The sequence below is a fragment of the Homo sapiens genome, chromosome 4, assembly GCF_000001405.40.
Source record: "Homo sapiens chromosome 4, GRCh38.p14 Primary Assembly".
In the NCBI taxonomy this organism is placed as follows: Eukaryota; Metazoa; Chordata; class Mammalia; order Primates; family Hominidae; genus Homo; species Homo sapiens.
Window position 1 is genome coordinate 56,858,128 of NC_000004.12, and position 14,330 is coordinate 56,872,457.

At 46.2% G+C, this 14,330-nt stretch overlaps 1 annotated feature.

Moving 5' to 3' along the window:
• Nucleotides 2,058–2,127: an enhancer, noted in NCBI's record as "active region_21585". NCBI's record gives its function as "activates an Ori minimal core promoter by ATAC-STARR-seq in GM12878 lymphoblastoid cells {active_cell/tissue: GM12878}" and the evidence as "EXISTENCE:reporter gene assay evidence [ECO:0000049][PMID:35858748]".

Here is a 14,330-nt window from a genome sequence, read left to right on the forward strand (position 1 = left end):
TAGACTGTATTTCTCAACTTCACTTGAACTTAGGATGTGCCAAGTAGAATGTGGTCAAAAATGATATACAGCCAGGCGTGGTGGCTCATGCCTGTAATCCCAGTACTTTGGTAGGCCAAGGCAGGAGAATTGCTGGAACCCAGGAGTTCAAGACTAACATGGGCAACATAGCAAGACCTTGTCTCTATAGCAATTACAAAAATTAGCTGGGCATGGTGGCTGGCAGGCGCCTGTAGTCCCAGCAACTCAGGAAGCTGAGATAGGAGGATCACTTGAGCCCAGGAGGTTGTGGCTGCAATGAGTGAGCTGTGATCACACCACTGCATTCCATCCTGTGCGACAGAGTGGGGGTGGGGGGAAGTTTTATATATATATATATATATACATGAAATCACTTCCAGACCTGGCCCATTAGAACTGCATGCCATTTAACCTTCCTGGATGAAAGGAAGAAACATGACTCCCTGGACAATCTTGGGAGCTACTTTTTTTTTTTTTTTTGAGACGGAGTCTCGCTCTGTTGCCCAGGCTGGAGTGCAGTGGCGCGATCTCGGCTCACTGCATGAGCTTCAGCTCACCTTACAATGGGTAACACAGGCAACAGACAAATAAATAATAAGATTTCAAGCACTGATTATTACAGCTGTCCCTCGGTATCCATGAAGGATTGGTTCCAGGACCCCCCCATGGATAAGAAAATCCAAAGATGCTCAAGATCCTTATATGAAATGGCATAGTACTTGTATATAACCTACACACATCCTCCTGCATACTTTTTTTCTTAATAAAAAAAAGTTTGAGTTTTTCTTTGACACACGGTCTCACCATGTCACCCAGGCTGCAGTGAAATGGCATAAACACAGCTCACTACAGCCTTAAATCCCTGGGCTTAAACACCTGCCTCAGCCTCCCAAGAAGCCAGGACTACAGGCATGTGACACCATGCAGGGTTATTTTTGTTTTTATTTTTTTATAGAGACAAGGTATTGCGATGATCCCCAGGCTGGTCTCAAACTCCTGGCCTCAAGTGATCCTCCAACTTCAGCCTCCCAAGACAGGCATAAGCCAGTCTGCCCAACCCTCTTGTGTGCTTTAAATGATCTCTAGTGTACTTATAATACCTAATACAATGTAAATGCATATAAGTAGTGTTTTTGTTTGTTTGCTTTGTTTTGTTTTGTTTTTGAGACAGAGTCATGCTCTATTGCCCAGGCTGGAGTGCAGTGACCTGATTTCGGCTCACTGCAACCTCTGCCTCCCAGGTTCAAGTGATTCTCCTGCCTCAGCCTCCTGAGTAGCTGGGACTACAGGCGCCCACCACTACACCCAGCTAATTTTTCTATTTTTAGTAGAGACAGGGTTTCACCACGTTGGCCAGGCTGGTCTTGAACTCCTGACCTCAGGTGATCTGCCCGCCTCAGCCTCCCAAACTGCTGGGATTACAGGAGTGAGCCACCGTGCCCGGCCAGTTTTTTTTTTGTTTGTTTTTTGTTTTGAGACAGAGCGTGGTTCTGTCAACAGGCTTCAGTGCGGTACCGCAACATCTGCCTCCCAGGTTCAAGCAGTTCTCTGCCTCCTGAGTAGCTGGGATTACAGGTGCCTGCCACCATGCCCAGCTAATCTTTGTATTTTTAGTAGAGACAGGGTTTCACCATCTTAGCCGGCTGGTCTTGAGCTCCTAACCTCATGATCCACCACCTCGGCCTCCCAAAGTGCTGGGATTACAGGCGTGAACCACTACGCCTAGCTATATAAGTAGTTTTTATACTCTCTTGTTAGACAATATGACAAAGGGAAAAAAGGCCTATACATATTCAGTCTGTACAGCAGCAGTCACCTATTTTGTCTCGTTGAATATTTTCGATCCATGGTTGGTTGAATCCACAGATGTCACACTCACAGATATGAAACCCACAGATAGAGAGGGCTTACTGTACTTAGATGGAAAGTAAAGAAGAATAAAAGGAGTTAGAGAGAGGCCGGAAGGATCTTTTAGAAAAGGTGGTTGGGAAAGAGCTTTCTGTGCTGGTAGCATCTGACCAGAGACCTGAATGATACAAAGAAGCTAATCATACCAAGATCAGAAGGGACAATGAACTCTTAACAATTGTTCCTCTGAAACAAGTTATTTGTAGAAGGAAAACAAAGGTAACGACAGTATAAAAAAGAAAAGAAAACTAGGCCAGGTGCGGTAGCTCACGCCTGTAATCCCAGCACTTTGGGAGGCTGAGGGGGGCAGATCACTTGAGGCCAGGAGTTCAAGACCAGCCTGGCTAACATGGCTAAATCCCACATCTCTACTGAAAATACAAAAATTAGGCCAGGCGCGGTGGCTCACGCCTGTAATCCCAGAACTTTGGGAGGCCAAGGCAGACAGATCACCTGAGGTCGGCAGTTCGGGACCAGCCTGACCAACATGGAGAAACCCCGTCTCTACTAAAAATCCAAAATTAGCTGGGTGTAGTGGCACATGCCTGTAATCCCAGCTACTTGGGAGGCTGAAGCAGGAGAATCGCTTGAATCGGGGAGGTGGAGATTGCAGTGAGCTGAGATTGCACCACTGCACTCTAGCCTGGGCAACAGAGCGAGACCTGGTCTCAAAAAAAAAAAAAAAATTGCAGGGCGTGGTGGCACACACCTGTAGTCCCAGCTGTTCAGGAGGCTGAGGTAGAAGAATTGCTTGAACCCAAGAAGCGGAGGTTGCAGTGAGCTGAGATTGTGCCACTGCACTCCAGCCTGGGCAACAGAATGAGACCCTGTCTCAAAAAAAAAAAAAAAAAAAAAAGACTGAAATGAATCAACTTAGATAAAGATTAGTCAAAGAGAAAGATGAAACCCAAACCCCAGTCTTATAGATTCCTGACCTGACTTTGCCCTTGTCTAAAAATCTGCAGCCTGGTGGATAAAGCTCTTTCTTCCATTTTTGGCTTTGTATCCCTATTTCCAGTCTTTCAAGTTGAAATTTGCCCATTTATTCAGGCAACTCAATAAATATAGTAATATGTCAGGCTCTATCGCTAGACATTCGTAAACTCTATCTACATAAACTGAACTTTAGGAACTCCAGCAGGTTATTTAAAATCTCCAGTCCCTAATTTCCTCATCCCTAAAACAGAGACAGCACTAGTAACTAAGTTACTTTAGAGGTTTGTTCTGATGATCAGATGAGATAGTTCACCTAAAATGCTAGTACAGAGTAAGCACTGAAGAAATATTTTCATGAAGTCTAAATTAACCTGCTGGACACCATTCAGAGCACAAGTCTATCAAGTACCTGACTCTATGTTCTTAAGAACCCAAGATACTTCTGCCTTCTTTTGGGCCAGACTTCAATTCATTCAGACTTGAAGAGAAAGAAGAGTCTTCCCCATTAGCTTTGCAGGTGGTGGCAGTGAGCCAATAGCCTCTGGTATGCAGAAGGCTTTGTGTCAGTGATGCATATTCACGAGTAGCTGACCTGAGAGAGCAATCTGGCTCTCTGAGCAAGGTCACTTCTGAGCTGCTGTCCTGTACAACTCCACAGGGCACCATGCACATAGAACTGAACTGTAATCTGTTTGTGCATTGGGAAATCAAGTCATGGCTTATGGCTAGGATCTTTTTTTTTTTGAGATGGAGTTTTGCTCTTGTTACACAGGCTGGAGTACAATGGTGCGATCTCGGCTTACGGCAACTTCGGCCTCCCAGGTTCAAGCGATTCTCCTGCCTCAGCCTCCCGAGTAGCTGGGATTACAGGCATGTGCCACCACACCCAGCTAATTTTGTATTTTTAGTAGAGATGGGGGTCTCTCCATGTTAGTCAGGCTGGTCTCGAACTCCCGATCTCAGGTGATCCACCCGCCTTGGCCTCCCAAAGTGCTGGGATTACAGGTGTGAGACACCACACCCAGCCCAAAATTCTTAAAAGAAGCTAGCCATGGCTGGGTGCGGTGGCTCATGCCTGTAATCCTGGCACTTTGGGAGGCCAAGGTGGGCGGATCACCTGAGGTCGGGAGTTCGAGACCAGCCTGACTAACATGGAGAGACCCCCCATCTCTACTAAAAATACAAAATTAGCTGGGTGTGGTGGCTCATGCCTGTAATCCCAGCTACTAGGGAGGCTGAGGCAGGAGAATCGCTTGAACCCAGGAGGTGGAGGTGGCGGTGAGCTGAGATTGCCCCATTGCACTCCAGCCTGGGTGACAGAGTGAGATCCTGTCTCAAAAAAAAAAAAGAAAGAAAGAAAGAAAAAAAGAAAAGGGCCAGGCGCAGTGGTTCACGCCTGTAATCCCAGCACTTTGGGAGACCGAAGTGGGTGGATCACCTGAGGTCAGGAGTTCGAGACCAGCCTGGCCAACATGGTGAAACCCCATCTTTACTAAAAATACAAAAAGTTAGCCGGGCGTGGTGGCGCACTACTGTAGTTCCAGCTACTCGGGAGCTGAGGAAGGAGAATCGCTTGAACCTGGGAGGCAGAGGTTGCAGTGAGCCAAGATCAAGTCATTGTACTTCATTCAGCCTGAGCAACAAGAGTGAAACTCCATCTAAAAAAAAAAAGAAAAAGAAAAAGAAAAGAAAAAAGAAGATATCAAGGTACATCATATATAACAAGAATAGATATTTTTTACCTGAAACAGTTATATAAGTTTATACATATATACATACACACACCACGCACACATAATTTTACATATATATATATGTTTTATATATATTAATTTTAGGGTTTGTTGTTGTTGTTGTTGTTGTTGTTGTTTGAGATGGAGTCTTGCTCTGTCACCAGGCTGGAGTGCAGCGGCAGGATCTCAGCTCACTGCAACCTCTGCCTCCCGGGGTCAAGCAATTCTCCTGCCTCAGCCTCCGGAGTAGCTGGGACTAGAGACGCACGCCACCATGCCTAGCTAATTTTTGTACTTTTAGTAGAGACGAGGTTTCACCATGTTGGCCAGGATGGTCTCGATCTCCTGACCTTGTGATCTGCCCGCCTTGGCCTCCCAAAGTGCTGGGATTACAGGCATGAGCCACCACACCCTGCCTAGTGTTAGTTTTATATATTGCAGATTGCAGAAGATGCTGTGATGTACTACCCAGAGTCTGTCCTTCAGGACTAAGGCACACAGTCCCCAGCTCCCATGAATGCTGCCTGCTGACTACTCAGAATTCAATCCCTCCCCAGGAGCTGCCCATGGTCTGAGAGAGTTGAGTAAACCCAGGATCAGGACCCCTTCCCAGGGAAAGCCCACATCCAGTGACTGGCCAATTTGAAAGGTAGGTACAAAGGCCCAGCCCTCCCAGAGTGACCAACTTGTCCTGGTTTGCCTGGGACTTTCCTGGCTTTAAAACAGAAAGTCCCATGTCCTGAAAACCCAGGGCAAACTAGATAAACTGGGATGATTGGCCACCCTACTCTTGCCTCAATTTGGGACACCACTGATGACCCACCTTCAGAACTCTCTCTGGGATCAATTGAGGCTCCCCCTGGGTTGTAAGAGCATCACAGTTCAACCTCTCCCTCTGCCCAGTCCTGCATCCCTTGCTCTCTGACAGGTGCTGCTCCTAGGGTGCTCCCCAGTGAACAGGCTGCATGTAACTCCCCAGCCCAGATCTGCTTCCAAGGGAACCTAGCCTGCTAGTATAGCGAGTCCTAATAATCAAATGCATTTCTTGCTGGGAACCAAGGTCAAAAAGATTTGGAAGCCACTTCTACAGTAGATACTACCAGTTTGTAGTATTTACATAGCACACCTCTTTTCCATTAATAATAGCATCCTGCTTCTTTTGGGGAAGTAGTACTACTCTGACTCAAGTCAGGGGTTCTTGTGGGCACCTCTAACTTCCAACTATCACCACAAGGCCTGTGACTCAATCTAGACCAATCAGAATAATTTCCTGGAATTTTTCTATTCATACTTAAAGAAAAAGACTCCTGGCTGGGCGTGATGGCTCATGCCTGTAATCCCAGCACTTTCGGAAGCCGAGGCGGGCGGATCACCTGAGGTCAGGAGTTCGAAACCAGCCTGGCCAACATGGCAAAACCCCGTCTCTACCAAATATACAAAAATTAGCCAGGTGTGGTGGCGGGCGCCTGTAATCCCAGCTACTCAGGAGACTGAGACAGGAGAATCGCTTGAACCCAGGAGACTGCGGTGAGCCAAGACTGCACCATTGCACTCCAGCCTGGGCAACAAGAGAGAGACTCCTCAAAAAAAAAGAAAAAAAAAAAAGAAAAAGAAAAAGACTCCTTTCCTGGGGCCTCCCAGAGGCCATGTAGCCCATACACAGGCAGAGTAGTGGGGAAAATTAAGATAAACAGATTCCTGCGACATCACAGTGGGATTTCAGGCAGTCCTGGGACCCACTTGCACCTCTACTCTTCCTTGTTTCTCCTCCAGGTGGGCTTCTGCCATCTGCGGCCAAAAGGATCCTGACTGGTGGCACAGACTTTTAAGAAAAGCAGCTATACTGCTGCTTATACCTAATTTTTTTTTCTTTGTTACATTTATCTGTCTTCACTTCTTTTGCCTTCTTTCCTCTACTTAAGTACTTTCCTCTTTTGAACCACTTTTTTTTTTTTTGAGACAGAGTCTTGCTCTGTCGCCCAGGCTGGAGTGCAGTGGTGCGATCTCGGCTCACTGCAAGCTCCGCCTCCTGGGTTCACACCATTCTCCTGCCTCAGCCTCCCGAGTAGCTGGGACTACAGGCGCCTGCCACCGCGCCCAGCTAATTTTTTGTATTTTTAGTAGAGATGGGGTTTCACCGTGGTCTCCATCTCCTGACCTCGTGATCCGCCTGCCTCGGCCTCCCAAAGTACTGGGATTAAAGGCGTGAGCCACTGCGCCCGGCCTGAACCACTTTTTTAAGACCTGTTCAAATGTCTCCTGCTCAGTGAAGTCAAACTTTCCTGCCACTCCCAGACAGGTGCATAGTTAGATCCATGGACAAACGTTCATGAGATCTTGCTACTATGATGCTTATGGCTGCTGCTGTGCTAGCACAAGGCCAAAGATGGAGCAGTGCACAGCCCAGACCTCCAGGAGCTTTAGTGTTGTAGTGGAGCAGGCTGGCTCCTAAACAGATAATTACCATTTGAGGTGGTAAGTGCACTGACAGAGATGTTAGAGACCCACACCTAGGAGAGGGAAGTGTGAGGTAGCAACATGTTTGTCAATAATCTATTAGCCCCCCCTTTTTTTTTGAGACAAAGTCTTGCTCTGTCACCCAGGCTGGAGTGCAGTGGCATGATTTCAGCTCACTGCAACCTCCGTCGCCCAGATTCAAGTGATTCTTGTGCCTCAGCCTCCCGAGTAGCTGGGATTACAGGTGCGTGCCACCACGCTGGGCTAATTTTTGTATTTTTAGTAGAGACGAAGTTTTGCCATGTTGGCCAGGCTGGTCTTGAACTCCCAACCTCAGGTGATCTACCCTCCTCAGTCTCCCACAGCGCTGGGATTGTACAGACTTGAGCCACTGTGTTCGGCCTTTTAACTCCTTTTCTGTAGTGCGGGTACATAATTGCTTCTTCCTTTTTATTTCCTCTGCACCTTTGTATTTCTTTAGCATTTATTTCATTCTATTTTACCTTAATGGTTTTCTTGAGGAACGACTTCATGGGTATGTGTATTAGTCAGTTGTAGCATTACTAGGAAGGAATGCCTGAGACTGCGTAATTTAAGAAAAGAGGTTTAATTGGCTCACGGTTCTGCAGGCTTTACAGGAAGCATGGTGCTGACATCAGCTTCTGGCAAGGCCTCAAGAAGCTTCCAATCATGGTGCAAGGTGATGGGGAGCCAGCATGTCACATGGCCAGAGTGGGAGCAAAAAAGAGGGTGAGGCAGGTCCCACACTCCTCAACAACAAGATCACACGTGAACTCACTGAAGGAGAACTCACTCATCATCAAGAGAATAGTGTTAAGTCATTCATGAGGGATCCACCCAGTGATCCAGTCACCTCCCACCAGGCCCCACCTCCAACATTGGAAATCACATTTCAACATGAGATTTGGAGGCAACAAATATCCAAACCACATCAGTATGCAACATGTATAGCCACATGGGGCCCCACAGTTAGAAGCACCCTGTGCTAGATATAATGTTCTGCTGTCACTGTCTTGAAATTCTCCTTTAAAAAAAATTTAACAAGGGGCTCACATTTTCATTTTATATTGGCCTTGGCTTTCAGATTTATCTGTCCCAGAATTACAAAGGCAGAGACCCAGGGCTAAGAACCTGTCATGGACACCTTTGGATTCCTCATGGCACCTTGAGAATGCCCACAGTACATGTTTTTAACATGAAGGAGCTGGGTGCCATGGCTCACACCTGTAATCCCAGCACTTTGGGAGGCCAAGGCAGGCAGATCACCTGAGGTCAGCAGTTTGAGACCAGCCTGGCCAAGATAGTGAAACCCGATCTCTACTAAAAATACAAAAATTAGCCGGGCATGGTGGTGGGAGCCTATAGTCCCAACCTAGGAGGCTGAGGCAGGAGAATCATTTGAACCTGGGAGGCAGAGGTTACAGTGAGCTGAGATCACACCACGCTACTCCAGCCTGGGCAACAGTGAGACTCCACCCCAGAAACAAACCAAACCAACAACAACAACAAAACATGAAGGGAAAACTCCTTATCTCTGAAGGGCTTTTTTTCTTATTGTTTGTTTTTGTTTTCCGAAGCCATATACAGATCTCTTTAGTGATGATCGACAAACACGGAAGCCTCCAGAATTTTTTTTTTTTTTTTTTGATATGGAGTCTCGCTCTGTCGTCCAGGCTGGAATGCGGTGGCGCGATCTCAGCTCACTGCAACCTCCCCCTCCCAAGTTCAAGCAATTCTTCTGTCTCAGCCTCCTGAGGATTACACCACCACGCCCCGCTAATTTTTGTATTTTTAGTAGAGATGGGGTTTCACCATGTTGGCCAGGCTGGTCTCGAACTCCTGATCTCATGATCCGCCCGCCTCTGCCTCCCAAAGTGCTGGGATTAAAGGCATGAATTACCATGCCCAGCCCTTCAGAATTATTATGTTGGAGTCCCATTTTCCCTCTGATCTTTGCATGTTACTTTGAGCTTTACTTATTCCAAGCAAGAAACAAAGGAAGAATATTGTTTTCTGTTTCTCGTTTAGAGAGATCTATAAACATTCTCAAGAAGCAACAATTTCGGCCACTTGAAGCTTGTGAGCTCAATGTATCAACAATAGCTGTACTCAAAGAAGAATTGTGAGCCATGCACAAAGAAGTGTATATTTTCAGGCAAGCAGTAGGAGCTAGTGAATATATGATGGAGCATAAAACTATGATATTTTACATTTTTTGTCTGTCCAATTTTAGTCGCTGATTCTTCTGGATACTTTCAGGTGTTCAAAGTTCCTTGAATTTCAGTCATGGTAAGATTTACCATGACTTCTTGAAAAGAACATAAAAGATTTCAGATTGTTCTGGTTAACTTTATTAGAATGCCTTATTTTATTTTATTTTTGGAGACAGGGTCTCACTCTGTCACACAGGCTAGAATGCAGTGGCACAATCATAGCTCTTTGCAGGCTTGAATTTCTGGTCTCAAGGGATTCTCCCACCTCAATCTCCCAAGTAGCTAGGACTACAGGAATGTGCCACCACGCCCAGCTAATTAAAAAAAAATTTTATAGAGATGGGGACTCACTATGTTGCCGAGGCTGGTCGCCAATTCCAGGGCTCAAGCAATCCTCCCACCGCAGCCTCACAAAGTGGTGGGATTATAGGTGTGAGCCACCATGCCCAGCAGAATAGCTTATTTTCAGTCAAATTCTCAACATTTCCAAATTTATATTTGGAGGTAGTTCAGGCCTTTCTTTAAGTTATGCCCCCAAAATGTTAAAGAAATTTTCCCCAAAATGTTTACATTACTTCCTAAAGTGTTATAAATTGTTACGAATGTATCTTTTAGGCCGGGTACAGTGGCTCACACCTGTAATCCCAGCACTTTGGGAGGCAAAGGCTGGCAGATCACTTGAGTTTGGGAGTTCGAGACCAGCCTGACCAACATGGTGAAACCCTGTCTCTACTAAAAACACAAAAATTAGCCGGGCACGGTGGCATGTGCCTGTAATCCCAGCTACTTGGGAGGCTGAGGCAGGAGAATCGCTTGAACTCAGGAGGCGGAGGTTGCAGTGAGCCGACACAGTGCCACTGCACTCCGGCCTGGGCGAAAGAGTGAGACTCGTCTCAAAAAACAAACAAACAAACCAGCAAACAAACAAACATTTAATAAAATAGTAGCTACATCTTGGCTGGATGTGGTGGCTCACACCTGTAATCCCAGCACTCTGGGAGGCCAAGGCGGGTGGATCACGAGGCCAGGAGATTGAGACCATCCTGGCTAACACGGTGAAACCCCATCTCTACTAAAAATACAAAAAATTAGCTGGGCTTGGTGGCGGGTGCCTGTAGTCCCAGCTACTCAGAAGGCTGAGGCAGGAGAATGGCGTAAGCCCGGGAGGCCGAGCTTACAGTGAGCCGAGATCGCACCACTGCACTCTAGCCTGGGCAACAGAGCGAGACTCTGTCTCAAAAAAAAAAAAAAAAAAAAAAAAAGCTACATTTTAACATTTAAAGTAAAAGATTTTTGGGTGGGTGCAATGACTCACACCTGTAATCTCAGCACTTTGGGAGGCGGAGGCGGGTGGATCACTTGAGGTCAGAAGTTCCAGACCAGCCTGGATAATATAGTGAAACCCCATCTCTACTAAAAATACAAAAAATTAGCTTGGCATAGTCCCAGCTACTCAGGAGGCTGAGGCAGGAGAATCGCTTTAAACTGGGAGGCAGATGTTGAAGTAAGCCAACATCACACCACTGCACTCCAGTCTGGGTGACAGAGCAAGACTCTGTCTCAAAAATTAAAAAAGAAAAAAATTAATTGATTAAAAACAGAAACAAATAAAAAAAAATAAAGTAAAAGATTTTCGACCAGCTCAGTGGCTCATGCCTGTAATCCCCGCACTTTGGGAGGCCAAGGCAGGAGGATCACTTGAGCTCAGGAGTTGGAGACCAGCCTAGCTAACATGGTGAAACCCCATCTCTACTAAAAATATAAAAATTAGCTGTGCATGGACTGGGCACAGTGGCTCACGCCTATAATCCCACACTTTGGGAGGCCAAGGCAGGCAGATCACTTGACGTCAAGAGTTCGAGACTAGCCTGGCCAACATGGTGAAACCCTGTCTCTGCTAAGAATGCAAAAATTGGCTGGGCGTGGTGGCATGTGCCTATAATCCCAGCTAGTCCGGAGGCTGAGGCAGGAGAATCGCTTGAACCCAGGAGGCGGAGGTTGCAGTGAGCTAAGATCATGCCACTGCACTCTAGCCTGGGCGATAGAGCAAGACTCCATCTCAAAAAAGAAAAAAAATTAGCTGGGCATGGTGGCAGGAGGCCATAGTCCCAACTACTCAGGAGGCTAAGGCAGGAGAATCGCTTGAACCAGAGGGGTGGAAGTTGCCTTGAGCCGAGATCACACCACTGCACTCCAGCTTGGGTAACAGAATGCGACCCTGCCTCAAAAATAAATAAATACAAGTAAAAGATTTTTGTGACTTGTTTTTTCAATTATTCATTTAACAAATATTTATGAAGTTTCTACTGTGTGCCAGGCATTGTTCCAGACACAGGGAACACACCAGACAAAGTCTCTGCATTCTAGACCTTGCATTATGGTGGGAAAACATGACAATAAACAGAGGTAAGGAGAAGATCTATAAGTAACGTATTATTCTTTTTTCTTTTTTTTCTTTTAAGATGGAGTCTCGCTCTGTCACCCAGGCTGGAGTGTGGTGGTGCAATCTCGGCTCACTGCAAGCTCCGCCTCCTGGGTTCACATCATTCTCCCGCCTCAGCCTCCCGAGTGAGTAGCTGGGACTACAGGCGCTGGCCACCACGCCCAGCTAATTTTTTGTATTTTTAGTAGAGATGGGGTTTCACCGTGTTAGCCAGGATGGTCTCAATCTCCTGACCTCATGATCCAACCACCTCGGCCTCCCAAAGTGCTGGGATTACAGGTGTGAGCCACTGCGCTGGACTTTTTTTTTTCCTTTTAAAATGTTCTAGACAGGACACCTAAGAACTAGGGATCAATAATATAGTAAAATAATATCAGCTAGTGATGTGAAATGAACAAAAGAATACAAATTTGGATATTTTATTGATACGAAAAAACCTTTAGGGTATACTGTTAAATGAAAATGGGGTTGGGTGTGGTGGCTCATGCCTGTAATCCCAGCACTTTGAGAAGCTAAGGTGGGAAGATCACTTGAGCCTAGAAGGTTGAGGCTACAGTGAGCTGAGATCGCACCACTGGACTTCAGCCTGGGCGACAGTGAGACCCTGTCTCAAAAAAAAAGGCGGGGAGTTAATATGCATGTGTATTACCAATAAAGGAAAGTTGAGAAGTATATACACTAAAATAGAAGTATATTAAAATATTTTTGTAATGAAGGCATTTGTATTTGGGATCTATTTCCAATATTAAGGAGAAGAGGCTGGGCACAGTGGCTCACACCTGTAGTCCCAACACTTCGGGAGGCCGAAACAGGAGGATCACTTGATCTCAGGAGTTTGAGACCAGCCTAGCCAACAAGGTGAAAACCCATCTCTACTAAAAATACAAAAAATAGCCAGGCATGGTGGTGTGTGCCTGTAGTCCCAGCTACTCAGGAGGTTGAGGCATGAGAATAACTTCCAGAGGTTGTAGTGAGCTGAGATTGTGCCACTGCACTCCAGCCTGGGTGACAGAGCAAGACTCCATCTCAAAAAAAAAAAAAAAAAGAGGGGCGGGGGGCGGAGAAAAATAAGAAGAGCTTAATTCTCAGGAAACATCCAAACATCTGGTCTATCAGATTTTATGGCCCCTGGAGAGGATTTTTTCCTGATGGCCTCGAGCCAATACTGACAAAAATAATTGGCAGGGTGATAATTAAAGCAAGATCTCGCATTAATATGTTCCCCTGCCCACGTCCAAGGTGAAATTTTCATATCAGCTGAAGCAATGCTTTGCATGCAGTAGATGCTGCGTAACTACTTGATGCAAGCTGGCAGAAAAGAATGTATGAATTTACTGAGGAATGAAAAACAGATGGGACCACTTTGGAAATGTAATCAGTGTTTGAGGTACTGGAGAGGAGTGTATTTGCAAACCAGGAAATATCCAACCCCAGGAAGCAGATGCTGCTTTGCTGTTGGTGAAAACATCTTTTTCATAGAAAACCCTAGGGTTTTATTTTTACCTTGGTAACTATCAAAATTTTTAATCGGTCTCGGGAATTTATCTCCAAAATGATATTCTGAGTGACTGCCTCCATTCAGGGCAAGCTGGGTTTTGTGGTAATTGCCTTTGATGTCTGTTCTTCGGTCTTTCTCCCTTGCCTAACCCCTGTCGCTGTCAATTACCCTGGGAGGCTGCCCACAACAATGGAGACTATTGCCTCAGTAACAGCCGCCTAGGCCCTCAGTATCAGCGGTGCCAAGTGGCTGCAGGCTGTGCTGAGGGCTACACTGTGAGCTAGGGGAACTTCCAAGGCTTTGCTCTCCCCTTGTGATTTTCCTTTCTACTATGTATGACCACTGACCCACGATTTTATGTGACATTTCAATCTCAGATCTCAGCCAGATCCCCAAGCTGCCTGCGATGCAAAGTGATTCTTAACATTACGCAGCTGCAGCTGGGGAATTCAGAGGACAGAGTAGGGGAAAGAGGAAACCCTGGCTAAAGTGATGGCGCTGCCCCAGAGGCTGCCTTCCGTAAGCCATTTCCACCTTCCACACCCAGCAATGTTTTTTGAAGGATTAAGATATTTCAGGCAGGGGCCAGGCGTGGTGGCTCACACCTGTAATCCCAGCACTTTAGGAGGCTGATGCTGGTGGATCACCTGAGGTCAGGAGTTTGAGACCAGCCTGGCCAACACAGTGTTACCCCATCTCTACTAAAAATACAAAAAATTAGATTGGCATGGTGGTGGGCACCTGTAATTCCAGCTACTTTGGAGGCTGAGGCAGGAGAATCGCTTGAACCCAGGAGTGGAGGTTGCAGTGAGCCAAGATCGCGCCATTGCACTCCGGCATGGGCGACAAGAGCAAAACTGTGTCTCAAAACAAACAAACAAGCAAACAAAAGAAAACAACTATTGAAGGAACCTCATTATGAACTTTTTAACAGTTTGCTAAATATGCTGATTCCCAGGCCATCACAGCTAATTAGTCAAGGAAAGCAGCTAGAAGGATGAGAGGCTTTGTTTGCTGATCCTTGCTCTCCAGTTTCCACTGTTGGTCATTTCCCTGTAAGGAAAACCAGAGACTAAGGCCATATTAAATAACATTGTATT